Source organism: Homo sapiens, chromosome 12 (genome assembly GCF_000001405.40).
Source record: "Homo sapiens chromosome 12, GRCh38.p14 Primary Assembly".
Classification (NCBI taxonomy): Eukaryota; Metazoa; Chordata; class Mammalia; order Primates; family Hominidae; genus Homo; species Homo sapiens.
This window is the reverse complement of record NC_000012.12, coordinates 116,426,189-116,445,784: the sequence shown is the minus strand read 5'-3', so window position 1 is coordinate 116,445,784 and position 19,596 is coordinate 116,426,189. Positions and strand designations below refer to the sequence as shown.

The window sequence follows — 19,596 nt, the reverse complement described above, 5'->3', positions numbered from 1 at the left end:
ACACCTAGGATGTTGTAGGATTTAAAACTGGTGTAAGCCGGGCGCAGTGGCTCACACCTATAATCACCACAATTTGGGTGGCCGAGGCAGAAAGATCTCTTGAGGCCAGGAGTTCAAGACCAGCCTGGGCAACATAGTGAGACCCTGTCTCTACAAAAAAATGTAAAAATTAGCCGGATGCAGTGGCAAGCACCAGTAGTCCCAGCAACTTGGGACGCTGAGACAGGAGGATGCTTGAGCTCAGGAGGTCAAGGCTGCGGTGAGCTATGATCACACCACTGCACTCCAGTCTAGGCAACAGAGTGAGGCCCTGTCTCTAAAATAAAAACAAAACAGGCCTGTTGGAGTCTGAATCCTATGCTTAAGGGGCACCCAGGTTGGTCCCTCTTCAGCACTCAGGCCCAGATTCTGTAGGGTGTGGCAGCTGCCCATCACCCTCACTGGGTCCCTGAATGCATGGCTGGATGAAAGTCCCTCAGAGTCCTGTTCTCCAGCTGCTAGCCCAGGACCTTGAGCTCTAGAGAGAAGAGAATCAACACCACTCCCAAGGGGGAGAAATTACTACTCTCCAGCTCTGGAGATTTGGCCCATGGTGGGCCAAATGGAGGCCCATCCCTCATTTCTAACAGTCCTGCCAACTCCCCCTTGGACACAAGAGCAGGGAAAACACTTCCCCAAGGTCAGGAGGGTATATTTGTCTCCCAGGACTGCTGTCACAAAGTACTGTAAACTGGGTAGCTTAAACCCATAGAAATTATTATTTCACAGTTCTGGAGGCCGGAAGTTCAAAATCAAGGTTTGGGTAGAGTTGGTTCCTTCTGGAGGTTTCCGGGGAGAGTCTGATCCAGGCCTCTCTTCTGGCTCCTGGTGGCTCCAGGCAATCCTTGGCGTTCCTCTGCTTGTAGATGCTTCACTCCAACTTCTACCTCCGTCTCCACCTGGTCTTGCCTCTTTTTGTTTCTGTGTCTTCTCTTCTTCTTATAAAGACACCAGTCGTTGGGTTTAAGGCCCACCGTAAATCCAGGATAATTGCTTCTGGAGATCCTTAACTAATTACACCTATGTATTAGTCCATTTTACACTGCTGATAAAGACATACCCGAGACTGGGTAATTTATTTAAAAAAAAAAAAAAAAAGAGGTTTAACGGATTCACAGTTCCACGTGGCTGGAGAGGCCTCACAATCATGGTGAAAGGCAAAAAGCACATCTTACGTGGTGGCGGCGAGAGAGAATGAGAGCCAAGTGAAAGGGGTTTCCCCTTATAAAACCACCAGATCTCGTGAAACTTATTCACTACCACGAGAACAGTATTAAGGGAAACCTCCCCCGTGATTCAGTTATCTCCCACTGGGTCCCTCCCACAACACTTGGGAGTTATGGGAGCTACAAATCAAGATGAGAATTGGGTGGAGACACAGCCAAACCATATCAACCTACAAAGACCCTTTTTCCAAATAATGTCACATCCCAGCATTCTGCGTGGACATGAATTTGGGGGGACACAGTTCAACCCATTACAGAAGTTCATTGCCTTGGAGACTCCCAGTGTCTGCTGAGAACATTACCACATCACCCACTTCCCTGGGCCCTCCTTCGACAGGACATCCCTGCAACAGCTGCTGTGGAGGAGGCCACCACCCTCACCCTGCATAGACCACCCCCCCAACCCATACCCACTCTGCCCCGCCAGGCTCCTCGGAAGTCTGACGGCTCCATGACAAGCCCCACGCACTGGCGGGAGACATGGGGGTGGGGGGAAACCACAGTTGCAGAATCCCAGCATGAGAAGAAGGAAAGTGCTGACTTAAAAATTGAAACCCTGACAGATGTAGAGCTTTTTAACTCTGCGATGGGCCTGTTGGCGCTTGTCAGATCCTAGCACGTTTGCTAATGTGCATTTTCATCAAAGGAAGAGCCTGCTAGAGATCCCATGGCTGGCCCAACCTCTTTGCTTCCACCTCCCTGCTTGGTTGTCCCTGCCTGTTCTCGCCCTTCCCTCCTCCTATGCTTTCCAGTCCCAGCCTTTCTTTGTTCCTGTCCTCTCCTCCTCTCCCCTTTCTCTGTCTCTATGCCTCCTCTCATCATCCCAGGGCCCCCACCCCATCCTGTCTTCCTTCTGTCTTCTTTCCTCTCCTATTCTGTCTCCTTTTCTTTTTTTTTTTCTTTTATTTTTTGAGACGGAGTATTGCTCTCGTAGCCCAGGCTGGAGTGCAATGGTGCGATATCGGCCCACTGCAACCTCTGCCTCCTGGGTTCAAGGGATTCTCCTGCCTCAGCCTCCCAACTAGCTGGGATTATAGGCACCCGTCACCACACCCAGCTACTTTTGTATTTTTAGTAGAGATGGGGTTTCTCCATGTTGGTCAGGCTGGTCTAGAACTCCCGACCTCAGGTGATCCACCTGCCTCGGCCTCACAGAGTGCTGGGATTACAGGCATGAGCCACCATGCCCAGACTCCCTTCCTTTTCTTTCAGTTCAGCAAGACAAACATTTATTGCAACCACTACAGAATTCCAGGGACTGAGCTCACAGTGAGTGTCTCAGTCCATCTGAGCTGCTCTAACACAATTCCTGAGGTTGGGTAATTTCTCAGCAACAGAGGTATATTGCTTACAGTTCTGGAGGCTGGGAAGATCAACAGATGCCGTGTCTGGTGAGGGCTTGGTCTCTGCTTCCTAGATGGGCCTTCTTGCTATGTCCTCACAGGCTGGACCGAGCAAAAGAGTGAACAAGCTCCCTCAGGCCTTTTCTATGAAGGCACTAATGCCAATCACGAGGTCTCCACCCTCATGACCTAATCCCAAAGGCTCCACCTCCTAGGGTTTGATTTCAATGTATGGATTTGAGAGGGGCACATAAATACAGACCGTAGCAAAGACAGCATAAACAAAACAAGGCCAGGTGTGGTGGTTCACACATGTAATCTCAGCACTTTGGGAGGCCGAGGCAGGCAGATCACTTGAGGTCAGGAGTTCAAGAACAGCCCGGCCAACATGGCAAAACCCTGTCTCTACTAAAAACACAAAAATTAGCCGTGCCTGGTGGTGGGCTCTTGTAGTCCCAGCTACTTGAGAGGCTGAGGCAGGAGAATCACTTGAACCCAGGGGGTGGAAGTTGTAGTAAGCAGAGATCACTCCGCTGCACTCCAGCCTGGGCAACAGAGTGAGACTCCATCTCAAAAAAAGACAAGGCAATAGGGCTTGTCCCTATAGGGTCATAGTTACCCATTCCTGCCCTGCCATATTGCTATCTTCTCTGAATCTCTTTCCTTTTTGAGGAGCGTGTGTTACAGGGTCTTGCTCTGCTGGCCAGGCTGATCTCAAGCTGCTGGCCTCAAGCAATCCTCCCTCCTCAGCCTCCCAAAACACTGGGATTACAAGCATGAGCCACTGTGCTCGGTCACTCTTTCTTCTTCTTTCCCCTCCTCCCTTCATCTTCCTCCTTTATCTTGGGATCTTTTCTGTCTCCCTCATTTTTCAGGTCAGTTCAAACAACTCTTCCTTGCCCATACCACTGTACGTACCACTGTATTATAGGAGCCGGAGATGCAGACAAGAGCAAGATGAGTTTGCCGTCTCAGAGTCTCCTTGTTCCTCCCCACTCTGCTCTCTCTCTCTATTTTCTCCAACAAACCCCCTGGCTTTTTTTGAGACTCCACCCTGCTCTGTTGCCCAGGCTGGAGTGCAGTGGCATGATCTTGGCTCACTGTAACCTCCGTCTCCCGGGTTCAAGAGATTCTCCTGCCGTAGCTTCCCCAGTAGCTGGGATTACAGGCGTGTGCCACCACAACCGGCTAATTTTTGTATTTTTAGTGGAGACGGGGTTTCCATGTTGGCCAAGCTGGTCTCGAAATCCTGACCTCAGGTGATCCACCGGCCTCGGCCTCCCAAAGTGCTGTGATTACAGGTGTGAGCCACTGCACCCAGCCTCTATTTCCTCTTTTCTTCTCTGTCATCCTTCCCTCTCACTCCCCCAAAACCCTCCCCATCATTGTGCATTTCTTTGCCTATGCCGAGTCTCAGGCTTTAGCATCCTGTACAAGAAAGGCTATGTGCTAATTGCACTGCCTCCTCCAGCTTCCTTTGATGATGGGGCCAGGCCTCATACTCCGTATTGCAGGTGGTGCTGGAGCCACCAGCCAGGATTAGCTGATGCATGTGGACAGACAGCCAATCCAAAAGGCCCCTGCCGTAGTGGCCCCGGGCCCAGAACTGCTGATCTGCTGGATATGTCTGAGTGAACAGGAGCAGCTCTCAGAGGCCTCAGCCCTGTGGGTGGCCAGGGAAGGCTGATGCAAGTGGACACATGATCAGAAGCAGAATGAGAAGTTCCCTGCCCTGGCTCTGAGCTGGGCTGGCTGATTAGAATAGACATGCTGGGTCACTGGTTGGCTGGACCCCAGGGGTGTCCAAGGCAGATCAAAGGGAGAGGATGCCCAGGTGCTAAAACCATGGTTAAAAAGGAAGTCAGGGCCAGGTGCGGTGGCTCACTCCTGTAATCCCAACAGTTAAGGCAGGGGGATCACTTGAACCCAGGAGTTCGAGACCAGCCTGGGCTCAACATGGAGAAATCTTGTCTTTACTAAAAATAAAAAAATTAGCTGGGTGTGGTAGCGCACCCCTGTAGTCCCAGCTATTCAGGAGGCTGAGGTGGTAGAATCGATTGAGCCTGGGAGGTGGAGGTTGCAGTGAGCCGAGATCGTGCCACTGCACTCCAGCCTGGTGACAGAGTGAGACCCTCTCTCAAAAAAATTTAAAAAAAGGAAGTCGGGGTGGGGCTTCCTTCCCTGGGCTGGAGATTTGCAGAACAACCCTTGCCTGGGTTGTGTTTTCTTGAATATTCAGGAGGTCAAAAAGAAGGCAGCTCTGGGTGCAAACTGTGGCTTTGTTCCCTATGGTTGACTCTGCCCTTCTCCCTGTAACCCCATGTCCCCAACATCTATTCTACCCAACTGACGATGCCAGGCATGGGACTTCCATTCCCCTGGCCCATGACTGGTTCACCAGTGACCAGGTGATCTAGTGACAGGAAAGTCTGCGGGGCCTTTGGGAAAGCTTCTCTTGTCCTAAGGAGGAGACACTGAACAATCCTCTCTGTGTCTGAATGAAAAGCTGGGAATCTCTGCAGCCTGAGACAGAGACGACCCCAAGGATGTTAGATCCAAGTTGTAAAGAACTCACAGTGTTGATGATGATACTACACAGCCATGGGCTATATCCAAGCACGCCCTTCCTTGGATATTTTATTTATTTATTTATTTATTTATTTATTTATTTTATTGAGATGGAGTCTTGCTCTGTTGCCCAGGCTGGAGTGCAGTGGCACTATCTTGGCTCACTGCAACCTCTGCCTCCTGGGTTCAGGCGATTCTCCTGCCTCAGCCTCCCAAGTAACTGGGATTACAGGCACCCGCCACCATGCCTGGCTAGTTTTTGTATTTTTAGTAGATGCGGGGCTTCTCCATGTTGGCCAGGCTGGTCTCGAACTCCTGACCTCAGGTGATCCACCCGCCTCGGCCTCCCAAAGTGTTGGGATTACAGGCATGAGCCACCGCACCTGGCCGGATATATTTTTTTTAATTAGAGATGAGATACGGCTCTGTTGCTCAGGTTGGGGTGCAGTGGTGTTATCATAGCTCACTGCAGCCTCAAACTCCTGGGCTCAAGCAATCCTCCTGCCTTAGCTCCTGGAGTAGCTAGGGCTACAGGTTCATGCCACCATGCCTGGCTGATTAAAAGAAAAAAAAAATTGTAGAGATGGGGTCTTGCTATGTTGCCCAGGATGGTCTTGAAGTCCTGGACTCAAGCAACCCTCCTGCCTCAGCCTCCCAAAGTGCTGGGATTACAAGTGTGAGCCACTGTGTCCTGCCTGGATTTCTTATTATGTGAAGTAATGACATTTCTTAAGACCATTTGAGCCCACCTAAGTTGTGTGTTCTATAACTTGCAGCCTAAAGCATTCTGAATAACAGACTAACATAGTATTTGCCTTCTGTGAGCGTCATCTGAGATCATGATGCCTATTCCCTAGGACTGCTATGAGAATTCATGAAATGGTGCATTTAGCACAATGCCTGGTACCTAGGGAGCACTCAGGAAACATTATTGTAATTATTATTATTATTTTAGATGGAGTTTCGCTGTTGTCGCCCAAGCTGGAGTGCACTGGTGCAATCTTGGCTCACTGCAACCTCCACCTCTTGGGTTCAAGCGATTCTCCCACCTCAGCCTCCCAAGTAGCTGGGATTACAGGCGTGCAGCACCATGTCAGGGCAATTTTGTATTTTTATGGAGGCGGGCTTTCACCATGTTGGCCAGCCTGGTCTCAAACTCCTGACCTCAGGTGATCCGCCCAACTTGGCCTCCCAAAGTGTTGGGATTATAGGCGTGAGCCACTGTGCCCAGCCCATTATTGTAATTAGTACTTACCCATCAATACGTTATTGTCAATACATTCTTTGCAGGCAGTTAAATGTGGTAGTTGTTAATGCTGTTTGCCAAATAGTTCTGGTTCTCTTCCCTTCCAAGGATAATATGATTGTACTTCTTGGTTCCTTTTGGGGTAGGAGATGTCACATGATTAACTCACATGGGCTGGGTGTGCTCCAACCACCTGCAGCATCACTCTCTGCCAACTCACTCAGGCTATCAGTGACATGGCAGAGTGGGCAAAACGCTGCCTACTGCAGTGACACTTGGGCGGAGGTGTCCCTGGCATAGCTGCCTCCAAGTTACCAACTCCAAGTGACCCAGCTCTCTCTCAACTCACACACACAGCCACGTTCTCCCCAAGGCACCTACATACCACCCGGAGGCAGGCCCTTTAAGACCAGTGCAGCCCGGAGCTTCTCAGTCTATCGGGCTCTTCCATGTAAGATTAATTCTTGGGCCGGGCGCAGTGGCTCACGCCTGTAATCCCAGCACTTTGGGAGGCCAAGGCGGGTGGATCACGAGGTCAGGAGATCGAGACCATCCTGGCTAACACGGTGAAGCCCTGTCTCTACTTAAAAAAATACAAAAAGTAGCTGGGCATGGCAGCGTGCGCCTGTAGTCCCAGCTGCTGGGGAGGCTGAGGCAGGAGAATGGTGTGAACCCAGGAGGTGGAGCTTGCAGTGAGCCGAGATCGCACCACTTCACTCCAGCCTGGGCGACAGAGCGAGACTCCGTCTCAAAAAAAAAAAAAAAAAAAAAGATTCTTTCTGGCAGGACTCAAATTGCTCTTCTTGCAGTCTGGCTTCTGTAGGGCTCTCCTGCAAATCTGGAAGACATGGCTCTGTGCACAAGACCCCGTGGCAGACAGGGCCTCATCTCCACCGGCATGAAAAATTGGTGATTATGAAACAAACAAAATAATAAGTGTTGGTGAGGGTGTGAAGAATCAGAACCCTTGTACATTCCTTCCATGCTGCATTCCCACGTGTTACACATGTTACACTGGTGGGGGAATGTCACATGGTGCAGTTGCCTTCAGAAACAGTTTGGGAGTTCCTGAAAATGCTAAACATACAGTTGCCCTAAGACCCAGCAATCCCACTCCCAGATATCCCAGATATACACCCGAGAGTCAAAAACATATGTCCATATAGAAACGTGTACACATAGCAAGTGTAATGTACATAGTATTATTCATAAAAACCAAAAGGTGGACGTGACCTAAATGGCCATCGTTGAATGGGAAGATGAGCAAATCGTGGCATAGCCATGCAACGGAATATGATTTGGCAGTAAAGGAATGAAGTATTGACACACGCCATGCCATGGATGAATCTAGCAACATCATGCTGAAGAAGTGAAGGAAGCCAGAAACCAAAGGTTGCAAATTGTATAATTCCATTTCTATGAAGTGTCCAGCATAGGTAAATCCATAGAGACGGAAAGCACATGAGTGAGTGGTTGCCAGGGTCGACAGGGAGAGGGGCAGGGAGGGGAGAGAATAGGAGCAGAACGAGTGAATGAAAGATAGCGGGTTTAGGGTTTCCTTCTGCAGTGACAGAAATATTTTGGAACTTGATAGAGGTGGTGGTTGCAGAATCCTGGGAATGTAGTAAATGCCACTGTGTTGTACCTTTCTGTCTTTTTTTCTTCCCCTTCCTTCCTTCCTTCCTTCTTTCTTGACAGAGTCTTGCTCTGTTGCCCAGGCTGGAGTGCAGTGGCACAATCTCAGCTCACTGCAACCTCTACCTTCTGGGTTCAAGTGACTCTCCTGCCTCAGCCTCCTGAGTAGTTGGGACTATAGACGTGCGTCACCACACCTGGCTAATTTTTGCATTTTTAGTAGAGACGGGGTTTCACTATGTTGGCTAGACTGGTCTCAAACTCCTGACCTCAGGTGATCTGCCCACCTTGGTTTCCCAAAGTGCTGGGATTACAGGCGTGAGCCACCGCACCTGGCCAACAACGGTCTATTTTGCTATTGCATTTTGCTTCAGTTTTTTAAAAAATCAGTTATTATGAATGGAGGACGCGTCAGGGAGGCAGGAAAGAGGAATGATGTCCAACTCCACCCCCAGAAATACCCAAACCCACTTTTTGCCTGGTCCTGAACCCCTTTCTCCTAATGTGTGTCCAGCTCAGAGTCAGACACATAGTAGGTGCTCAACAAGTGTTGGTTTCTCCCCCTCCCCCACACTGCCAGCTCCTGGTATAAAGGGGGAAAAAATCTCATAACCAATGTAACTGCCGCACTTGAACCTTTGGACTGAATCACATCTGCCACTTAGGGAGGGTCGTGTTTGCCTTGTGCTCGGACTGCAGCCTGCACTTTGGGCTCAGTGTTATCTGCGGGCCCTGCCAGCTTGCGAAAACCCTGCCCAGCACCAGCCCACGCAGGCAGAATTACACGTTATGCTGGGTCTCCCTGCATTTTCTGAGCTGGCATCTTAATGAACTATTGATTAGGGTCTTTCGGGCCTGGCTAGGATTCCCCTTTTGCAGAGAGCTGCAAGTTCCCCTGGTTGCACCAATCGTCCTGGAAAGGCCTGGTTCCATGGCCGCTGGCCAGAGTCTGCACCTTCGGGAAAGTTTTGTTCTCAGGCAGTTCCCGAGGCTCCCTGGGCTAGAAGCTATTCTTGGGGTGTTTAGGGGGCTGTGGGGGCAGGAACAACAGCTGTGGCTCTGCTCACCTCTGTCGCTCCCAACCAGAATGTGAGCACCTGCTGCAGGCCGGGCATGGGCTAGGGGTGGATGTAGAGCTAGATGAGTTAGCTGAATCTTACATCCCAAGGAGTTCAGAGTTGAGAGAGGAGGAGGGAGAAGCAGGCAATTGCTCCTGTAAGATACACAGCAGGGACAGCTGCACAATTTGTGCAGCCCGGGGCGAAATGAAAATGCAGAGTCCCTTGTGCAAAAATTATTACGAAGTTCAAGTTGGTGACAGCAGAGCTTCGAGAGAGCATTACCCTTCTAAGCGCCAGCCCCTGTGTGGGCACTGATCTCATGCCTGTGAAACTCGCCCTGCATTAGTAGCAGCTAACATGAATTGAGCACTTACTGTATGCCTGTGGCTGTAGAGCTCAGGGGTTGGGAACACTGACTCTGGACCCAGACTCCTGAGTCAGATTCCACCTCTGCCTCTTATTAAATTACCCAGTCTCTCTGTGCCTCAGTTTCCTCATCTGTAAAATGGGAGCAATACTAATAAAGAGTGTAGACCCGTGTCTGGCCTGCAATGTCTGCTACAGAAGCATTCACTGTTAGTGAATTTACATGTATGGACTCAGCTGATCCCCACAGGAGTCTAAGAGGTTGATGCTATTTATTATTATTATTATTATTATTATTATTATTATTATTAAGACAGAGTCTCACTCTGTTGCCCAGGCTGGAGTGCAGTAGTGCAATCTTGGCTCACTGCAACCTCTGCTTCCCGGGTTCTAAGCGATTGTCCTGCCTCAGGCTCCCAAGTAACTGGGATTACCGGTGCGTGCCACCACACCTGGCTAATTTTGTATTTATAGTAGAGATGGGGTTTCACCATGTTGGCCAGGCTAGTCTCGAACCCCTGATCTCAGGTGATCCATCTGCCTCAGCCTCCCAAAGTGCTGGGATTATGGGCGTGAGCCACTGCATCTGGCCAGTGGATGCTATTATTATACCTGTTACCAGGTAGGGAAACCAGGCATATGTTACATTGGGTAATTTAACCTTAGTCATTCAGAGGTGAGGCGTGGATTTGAACCTAAATCCTCCCACAGCTGGGAGGGCCCTCGTGCTACCCCTGGCTCCGAGTCAGTGTTCACTAAATGCAGATGGAATTGCAGAATTGGTTTTGTTTTAGGCCGGGCACAGTGGCTCACGCCTGTAATCCCAGCACTTTGGGAGGCCGAGGCGGGCGGATCAGGAGGTCAGGAGATCGAGACCATCCTGGCTAACATAGTGAAACCCTGTCTCTCCTAAAACTACAAAAAAATTAGCTGGGCGTGTTGGCAGGCACCTGTAGTCCCAGCTACTCGGGAGGCTGAGGCAGGAGAATGGCGTGAACCCGGGAGGTGGAGTTTGCAGTGAGCCAAGATCGCGCTACTGCACTCCAGTGTGGGTGACAGAGCGATACTCCGTCTCAAAAAAAAAACCAAAAAAAAAAAAAAAACAGAATTGGTTTTGTTTCTTTTTACAAATCTACTTTATGCCGGGCACTTTCCTATCGCTTCATTCGCGATAGGAATGTTTATTTTTTTCCATTTTACACATGTGTGTTTTTTTTTTCCATTTTACACATGGGGGTATTTGTTTTTGTGTGTTTGTTTTTTTCCATTTTACACATGGGGGTATTAAGCTCCGCCCTAGGAGAAGCCTTTAGACCAATGCTGCCCAGCCTGGAAGTGGTGAATCGGAGACTGCCCTCCTGACTCGCTTGGATTCCAAACCCCTGGCTCTTTCCAGCCCAGCCCACGCCCCTCCGGAAGCTCTGCCCAGAAACGTGCATGGTTGGCATTGCTGAGCTTGCGAGTCCTGCATGGCCCAAATCCCATGAAAGCTGCCTGCACTGCATTAGAAGTGCAGCAAGGATGGAAGTGAGAGGTAAAATGTACATTTCAGCACAAAAGCTTGGAGAGACTTCATGATGCCCCTAGGGCCGTAGGGATCCTCTCCTCTCTCCCTGCCCCAGGCAGACAAAATAGCTAAACCACCCAGGAAGTGTCCTGACAGAAGATCTGCTCACCCATCATCTCTGTTATCCTGTGCTCTGTGGCCTCTGAACAGGAACCCCCAAAATTCAGATGAGCAAGGAAGGCAAAGGTGTCACTGAGGGCTTGGCAAAGTGCTTGCAGGGATGTCCCGAGAAGGCTTTTTCCTGACAGCCTCCTCAGAAGAATATGTGTGGATTCTTATTGCGAAACCCCCAAAGCTCAGCCCCGCCTTCAGAGACTCCGGGAATGAGCTGTGGGTGGAGGGGTGAGTTTAGCGGTGGCAGCTGATCCTTTCCAGATGCCGGGCTCCAGGCCTTGCGGGCAGCCAGGCTGGTCAGTGGCTCCTTGTCACATGCGTGCCACCAGAGGCAGAGGGACAGGGGAAAGGGGCAAGAGTCTGCTCTGAGCCAGGGACTTCCAGGAAGAGCCTGAATAGTCCTGCCCCAGGCGGCTGGTTCTTTCCTCTTAGTGAGCAGCCATGCACACATGATGATTTGCTTTCCTTTTTTTTTTTAATTAACTTCTTACTTTATGCATTTATTTATTTATTTTTCAGACAGGGTCTTGCTCTGTCGCCCAGGCTGGCACCCAGTGGTGTGATCTCTGCTCACCGCAGCCTTGAATTCCTGAGCTCAAGTCATCCTCCTACCTCAGCCTCCCAAGTAGCTGGGACTATAGGCGCACGCCACCGCAGCCAGATAATTTTTTTTACTTTTTAGTAGAGATGGGGGTCTCGCTATGTTTCCCAGGCTAGTCACAAACCCCTGGCCTTAAGCGATCCTCCCATTTTGGCCTCCCAAAGCACTGGGATTACAAGTGTAAGCCGCTGTGCCCAACCCAATTTACTTTTTATTGAAATATAATTTCAGACTTAGGAAAAAGTTGCAAGAACAATACAAAGAATTCCCATGTACCTGTCACCCAGATTTCCCAAATGTTACCACATTACCACTTTGCTGTATCCTTCCCCCACCCCCCACCCCTGTCTCTGTAGATACAGCTATAAAGAGGAGAAAAATGCTTGTTTTCTCAGACATCACACCTCTGTGAAATACTTCACTCTGAATTTCCTAAAAACAAGCAACATTGTCTTACAAAACCACAATACAATGATCAAACGTAGGGAATGAACACTGACACAGCGTTATTGTCTCATCTGAAAACTTTCTCCAGGTCTCCCCATTTGTACTGATGATGTCCTTTGTCACCAAAGGAAGCTCCAGATGTCATATGGCATTTCGTTGTCCTCTCTTTTGCTTTCTTTAGTCTGAAGCAGTTCCTGTGTCTTTTTATATCTTTCATAACACTGACATTTTTCAAGAGCACACGTCAGAGATTTTATTGAACATCCCTCAATTTGGGTTTATCAGCTGTTTCTTCATGGTTAGATTCAGGTTACGCACTTTCATTCACAGTGCATCCTATCAGCTGGCACATACTGCCAATTTGCCTCATTCTGGGGATGCTAACTTTGATCACCAGGTTGAGACTGTATTCTTTTAAGCTAAACACAAAACAAAACAAAACAAAAACAGAGAAGCGGCTGGGAGCAGTGGCTCACGCCTGTAATCCCAGCACTTTGGGAGGCTGAGGCGGGTGGATCACGAGGTCAGGAGATCGAGACCATCCTGGCTAACACGGAGAAACCCCATCTCCACTAAAAACACAAAAAATTTCCCAGGCGTGGTGGCGGGCGCCTGTAATCCCAGCTACTCCGGAGGCTGAGGCAGGAGAATGGCGTGAGCCTGGGAGGTGGAGCTTGCAGTGAGCGGAGATCGCGCCACTGCACTCCAGCCTGGGCGACAGAGCGAGACTCCGTCTCAAAAAACAAAAAACAAACAAACAAAAAAAAACAGAGAAGCCTGAATTCTAATGATATCCTAAGTCCAGCTCAGAAGCCGCAGACCACCCCCTCACCAATTTTTCTGCTCATACAGAAAAAAAAAGTTAATGTATCAGTTATCTATGGCTGCGTAACAAACCACCCCAAACCCACAGTGGCTTAAAATAACAACTGTTAGTGCTCGTGGCTCTGTGAGCCAAAGATACAGGCAGGGCCCCACTGGGCAGTTCTTCCACTTCACATGGTATCATCTGGGTTCACTCACATGGCCACACTCCCCCTGGAGCTTGACTGGAGCTGGAAGACCCAAGATGACCTCACTCACGTGTCTGGCACTTGGTTTTGGCTGTCAGCTGGGGTGCTTGGTTCTCCTCCATGTGGCCTTTCCAGAAGGATAGCTTGGGCCTCTTTACATCGTGGCTGGGTTCCAAGAAAGTGAAAATAGAAGCTGCAAGGCCTGGAAGTTGCCCAGCCTCACTTCTCCTGAGTTCTGTTGCTAAAAGCAAGGCACCGGGCCAGCCCAGATTCAAGGAGAGGATAAAGAATTCTTCCTTTGGATGGGAGGAGTGGCAAAATCCATTGCAAAAGAGCATGTGAGATGGGGTCTTTGGAAATGATCTACCTCAGTTAAGGATACAGCATACCAAGGGTGTCTCCTTGCCCACCCAGGGTAAGCTACTTTTATCAGTGTTTTCCGTCAACCCTGGAATGGAAAGTTGCGAAACAGAGAAGCGGGGGTTGCATACCTTGTGCTGGAAGGGAGGGCATAGAGGTCAACTCGTTCGCCCCCGGAATGATGGCAAGGAAGGTCCTGGGATTGGAATTGGAAGGAGGAAATAAAAGAGCGCTGAGGGCATATAGATTTTCCCCCATGTATGGTGCTGGGTCGGGTCCTTCAGATGTCCCGAATTTGGATAGGGGAGGGCTTGGACTGTGGCTGTACTACTCAGACCGTCCAGAGGGCTACAAAAGAGAAACGAGGCAGTCAGCCTTTGCTCTGCCTCTTCCAGAGGAATGTCAGTCCTTATGCTCCGAATTTTTAGTCTTCACTATTCTTTTCAATTCAGTTCAATTCCAAAGGCCTTTCTTGGGTCTCTGTTATGTAGCGATATTTATTGGGCACCTACTATGTCTGCAGGGCTCAGTGCTGAGGATAGAGGGATGGAAGTGAATCGGTCCTTGCCCTTTGGGAGCTCACAGCCTAGAGATGAAATTTACCTATAGACAAACCATTGCAGATCATTGTCAAGGAAATGCATGTATGTGAGTGGAATCCAGAGCTGAGGAGTGGCTAAGTGTGCCTGGGGACCCTAGAGAAGGAACATAAAAGGGACAATGCATGACTGATCACTCTTAAAGAAGGAGCAGATAGGCCGGCAGAGGAGGCAGCCAAGGGTTGGGGAGGGGAGGGACAGGGCAGGTTAGGAAACTACCCCTCGCTGAGAATGGTTATCAACAAGATATAGGGAGGATTCCAGGAGGGTGCAGAGAGATGAGACCAAGGGATAATCATGAACTAGAACTCTGCAATCTACTAATGCCGGTGTTTCTCGCTTTCTTCCTATTCTCTCCCAAGAGTCCTTGCCAGCCCAGGTCTAAAGTCCTTAACCTTGTAGACCACCCATTCAATAGAGACTTGGGCCAGGCATGGTGCTGCATGCCTGTAATCCCAGCTACTGGGGAGGCTGAGGCAGGAGGACTGTTTGAGGCCAGGAGACTGAGACCAGCCTGGGCAGCATAGTAAGACACCTATCTCTCTCTCTCTTTTTTTTTTTTTTTTTTTTTTCGAGACAGAATCTTGGTCTTGTTGCCCAGGCTGGAGTGCAATGGCATGACCTTGGCTCACTGCAACCTCTGCCTCCCTGGTTCAAGAGATTCTCCTGCCTCAGCCTCCTGAGTAGCTGAGATTACAGGTGCCTGCCACCACGACCAGCTAATTTTTGTATTTTTAGTAGAGATGAGGTTTCGTCATGTTAGCCAGGCTGGTCTCGAACTCCTGACCTTGTGATCTGCCCGCCTCGGCCTCCCAAAGTGCTGGGATTACAGATGTGAGCCACTGCACCTGGCCAATAAGACAGCTATCTCTAAAAAATTTTTTTTAAAAAGATTAGCCAGGTGCAGTGGTACGTGCCTGCAGGTCACAGCTACTCAAGAGGCTGAGGCAGGAAGATCACTTGAGCCAAGGAGTTCGAGACTGCATTGAGGTATGATCATGCCACTGCACCCCAGCCTGGGAGAGGGAGCGAGATCCTGTCTCTAACAAAATAAATAAATAAAATACAGACTTGAGATGAGACAGTGAGAAAAGTGGGCAGGAGGACTTTTATTTATTTATTTATTATTTTATTTTATTTTATTTTATTTTTCTCTTTTTTTTCATCATACTTTAAGTTCTAGGGTACATGTGCACAACATGCAGGTTTGTTACGTATGTATACATGTGCCATGTTGGTGTGCTGCACCCATTAACTCATCATTTACATTAGATATATCTGACAGGAGGACTTTTTAGAGAAACTTATTTCATCTCTATAACAAGGAGCTGGGAGAAAGGAGGGAGGGGAGAGTCGTCTGGGAGTTTTGGAGTTGGGATTGGGAAAAAGGAGGGCACAGCTTGTATTCAGTGTTGCTGCGGGGTTTGGACTACATACGGTATGGATTTAATTAGTATTTGATAGCTAGACTGTGGATCTTTGAATGCAACTAAGTCCGTAGAAGGAGCCATATGGGGACCCATAATTTATATGTGTTACATCTTTTTAAACATACACATATACAGTAATAAGGGAGGTCACATTTTAAAAAGGGATGCATTCTTGAAGATCTTTGCATAATTAAAACCTCAAAATAACCCAAGGATAACCCTGGGAAAGTTTCATTTATCAACTAAAGTATCGCTAACACAAGGCAATAGTGCACCATGGCTCGGCTTCATTTGGCCCATGCAGCTCCGAAATGATGCAATTATTGATGCTTTTTTTTTTTTTTTTTTTTGTCTTTTTGGAGAGGTTTACATTATTCTACATTTTGCACCCAAAGGGAGACTTCATTTCATACATTTTTTTTCTTTTTTTTCTGAGATGGAGTTTCACTTTTGTTGCCCAGGCTGGAGTGCAATGGTGCAATCTTGGCTCACCGCAAGCTCTGCCTCCCGGGTTCAAGCCATTCTCCTGCTTCAGCCTCCTGAGTAGCTGGGAATACAGGCATGCACCACCACACCCGGCTAATTTTGTTTTGTTTCGTTTTGTTTTTTTTTTTTAGTTGAGATAGAGTTTTTCCATGTTGGTCAGGCTGGTCTTGAACTCCTGACCTCAGGTGATCCGCCCACCTCGGCCTCCCTAAGTGCTGGGATTACAGGCATGAGCCACTGCACCTGGCCTTTTCTCTTTTCCTTTCTTTTTCTTTTTTTTTTTTTTTTTGAGATGGAGTCTCACTTTTGTCATCTAGGCTGGAGTGCAATGGTATGATCTTGGCTCACTGTAACCTCCGCCTTCCAGGCTCAAGCGATTCTCCTGCCTCAGCCTCCCAAGTAGCTGGGATTACAGGTGCCCGCCACTACGCCCGGCTAATTTTTATATTTTTAGTAGAGACGGGGTTTCACCACGTTGGCCAGGCTGGTCTCAAACTCCTGACCTCTGGTGATCCTCCCGCCTTGGCGTCCCAAAGTGCTGAGATTACAGGAATGAGCCATTGCGTCCGGCCATTTCATACATTTTTTATATTGTACTATTTCAAATTTGCAATTCTCTCTTTTATTTCATCTTCATGAATGAGACAATAGAGGCTTAGAAGGGTTCGGTCTTGTCCAAGATGCTGCAATGAGAAGCAAAGGCAGAGCCGGACCCCAAGCCCAGGAGAGGGGGCAAACCCCAGGCTTGAACATAGACAAACAGGCTGATCTTCCAGGGTGGGTCCTACTGTTACAGAAAAGGGGTCCCGATCCAGACCCCAAGAGAGGGTTCTTGGATTGCGCAAGAAAGAATTCAGGGAGAGTCCGCAGTGCAAAGTGAAAGCAAGTTTATCAAGGAATAAAAAAGAATGGCTACTCCACAGACAGAGCAGCTGAGAGCTGCTGGTTGCCCATTTTTATGGTTATTTCTTGATGATATGCTAAACAAGGGATGGATTATTCATGCCTCCCCTTTTTAGACCAGATAGGGTAATTTCCCGACGTTGCCATGGCATTTGTAAACTGTCATGGTGCTGGTGGGAGTGTAGCAGTGAGGACGACCAGAGGTCACTCGTCGCCATCTTGGTTTTGATGGGTTTTGGCTGGCTCCTTTATTGCAGCCTGTTTTATCAGCAAGGTCTTTATCACCTGTATTCTGTGCTGACCTTCTGTCTCACCCGTGACTTAGAATGCCTTAACCGTCTGGGAATGTAGCCCAGTAGGTCTCAGCCTCATTTTACCCAGTTCCTATTTAAGATAGAGTTGTCCTGGTTCACACGCTTCTGACACTACAAAAGACAGCAGTTGATTTTGTTTTATTTTTTTTGGTGGGGGTGGGGGGTGTTGTTTTTGTTTTTGAGACAGAGTCTTGCTCCGTCGCCCAGGCCGGAGTGCAGTGGCACAATCTCGGCTCACTGCAACCTCCGCCTCCTGGGTTCAAGTGAGTCTCCTGCCTGAGTAGCTGGGATTACAGACGTGCATCACCACACCCAGATAATTTTTGTATTATTAGTAGAGACAGGATTTCGCCATTTTGCCCATGCTGGCCTCGAACTCCTGGCCTCAAATGATCCGCCTGCCTCAGCCTCCCAAAGTGCTGGGATTACAGGAGTGAGCCACAGCACCCCCGGCCAACACAGCAGTTGAGAACTTGGCTTATGGAATCTATGCCCCTTGTTTGCTTTCTGACCTTGGGCCAGTCATTTTTAGCCCCTCTGGGCCTCAGTTTCCTCAACTGTCAAGTGGTTACTCAAGGGTAGAGATAACAGGTGATAAGGTTCTTAGCATGAGACCTTGTTCATACTGAATGCTCAGAAAACAGGTAACCATTATGATTCCAGCATTTCCTTGCCCCATCGTATCTTGCTTATCTGTTTACGCTTAGTTTCCAGCCAGACTGTGAGTCCCAGGAGGTCAGTACCTGTGTCTCCTTAGAGCTTGCATGCCAGCCCCGCCCCATCCTGCCTGCACACGTAGACCCAGGTAATTCGGGGCATCCAAAGGACCCCACACAACACCGTGCATGGGGGAATTCAATGCCGTCGACACTCTTTTCCTTTTTCCTTTCCATTCCAATCCCAGGAGCTTCCTTGCCATCTCTCTGGGGACTAACGAGCGGGCCCCGTCATTGCCGCCCTCCCAGCCCAAGGTATGCGACTCCCATTACCTCCCCATTCCAGGGCAGATGGAAAACACTGATAAAAGTAGTTTACCCTGAGGCACTGGAGACTCAAAGGGGCAGATTTGCATTTTAAAAGACCACTGTGGAGCGAGGGCAATGCTAAACCCAGAGAAACGGCTCGTGCTGCTAACGAGAAATGTGGTAACTTGGGCCAAATAGCTAGAGACAGACTTTCAGAAACTGCAACAATCGCCTACTTACTCAGCCCGCAGAGGGCTGGTGCTGTCAGCACCCTAATTATTGGTTTCTGTCCCCTACACAAAGAGACCTACATAAAGAGATTGACAGAGACCAGAGGTTGGAGAGGAAAGAAGATAACTTTTACAGCCCCTGCCCATGTCACCAATCCTTAACAGTAGGCATGACTGTGCCCTCTATTTTTTTTTTTTTTTGAGTCGAGGTCTTGCTCTTTGCCTGTGGCATGATCATAGCTCACTGCAGCCTCAACCTCCCAGGCTCAAGCGATCCTCCCACCTCAGCCTCCCAAGTAGCTGAGACCACAGGCCCACACCATCATGCCTGGCTAATTTTTAAATTTTCTTGTAGAGATGGGGGTCTTGCTGTATTGCCTGGCTGGTCTTGAACTCCTTTCAAGCCATCCTCCCGCCTCGGCCTCCCAAAGTGCTGGGATTTAGAGGTGTGAGCCACTGCGCCCCGCCTGTGACCTCCAGTTTGCAGATAAAGAAACTCCTGCTCCTCTGAAGATAAAGAAACTTCTGCTCTTCTGTAAATTAAGGAATTTGCAGGATAACACACCATCTACCGCCTGCAGAGTTGGGATCCAGATCTGGTCTGTGCCATGCCAAGGCCCGTGTTCCTTCTCCAATCTTTCTCTCCAGCAGAGGCTGCGAAACCCACTCAGAGGAATGGAATGCCTGACATTCAGCAGCCTCGTTGACTCCCCCAGAAGCCCCTGAGGGATCTTGACTCATGCACTGGAAAAATCAGTCCCCTCAGCCTCCTTGCCCCCAGCCCGCCTGCCTCTTCCCTGTAGTTCCACCAGATGTCTCAGCACTTGGGGAACGTACCTTACCCTTCTCTGTACTTCAGGACGCACTGTTCCTGGGTCTGGAATTTCCTACTCCCTTCTACCGGCTTCTGCCTTAAAAACTCCTTCATCTCCCTAATGCTCTAGATCAAATGTCTCCCTGACCCCATGAATATAACTTACTTCCATACTTTTTCCTCCCATGAAGCAAGGCTGCCATATACCATTGTATAGGCTGTGCACTGCACAACTCTAGGAGCACATTTGCACAGACCACGGTGGCGTT

The 19,596-nt window shown here is 49.1% G+C and overlaps 1 non-coding gene across 1 annotated transcript, besides 3 other annotated features; it reads left to right on the top strand.

The window, feature by feature from the left end:
• Nucleotides 17,286-17,832: an enhancer, noted in NCBI's record as "H3K27ac-H3K4me1 hESC enhancer chr12:116865758-116866304 (GRCh37/hg19 assembly coordinates)". NCBI's record gives its function as "activates a minimal SCP1, AML or CMV promoter by ChIP-STARR-seq in naive H9 embryonic stem cells {active_cell/tissue: H9 hESC(naive)}" and the evidence as "EXISTENCE:reporter gene assay evidence [ECO:0000049][PMID:30033119]".
• MIR4472-2 (microRNA 4472-2) lies at nucleotides 17,467-17,533 on the top strand. Its single transcript, NR_039683.1, has one exon. It is a non-coding gene; the product is annotated as a microRNA 4472-2 (primary transcript).
• Nucleotides 17,833-18,379: an enhancer, noted in NCBI's record as "OCT4-NANOG-H3K27ac-H3K4me1 hESC enhancer chr12:116865211-116865757 (GRCh37/hg19 assembly coordinates)". NCBI's record gives its function as "activates a minimal SCP1, AML or CMV promoter by ChIP-STARR-seq in naive H9 embryonic stem cells {active_cell/tissue: H9 hESC(naive)}" and the evidence as "EXISTENCE:reporter gene assay evidence [ECO:0000049][PMID:30033119]".
• Nucleotides 18,380-18,927: an enhancer, noted in NCBI's record as "OCT4-NANOG-H3K27ac hESC enhancer chr12:116864663-116865210 (GRCh37/hg19 assembly coordinates)". NCBI's record gives its function as "activates a minimal SCP1, AML or CMV promoter by ChIP-STARR-seq in naive H9 embryonic stem cells {active_cell/tissue: H9 hESC(naive)}" and the evidence as "EXISTENCE:reporter gene assay evidence [ECO:0000049][PMID:30033119]".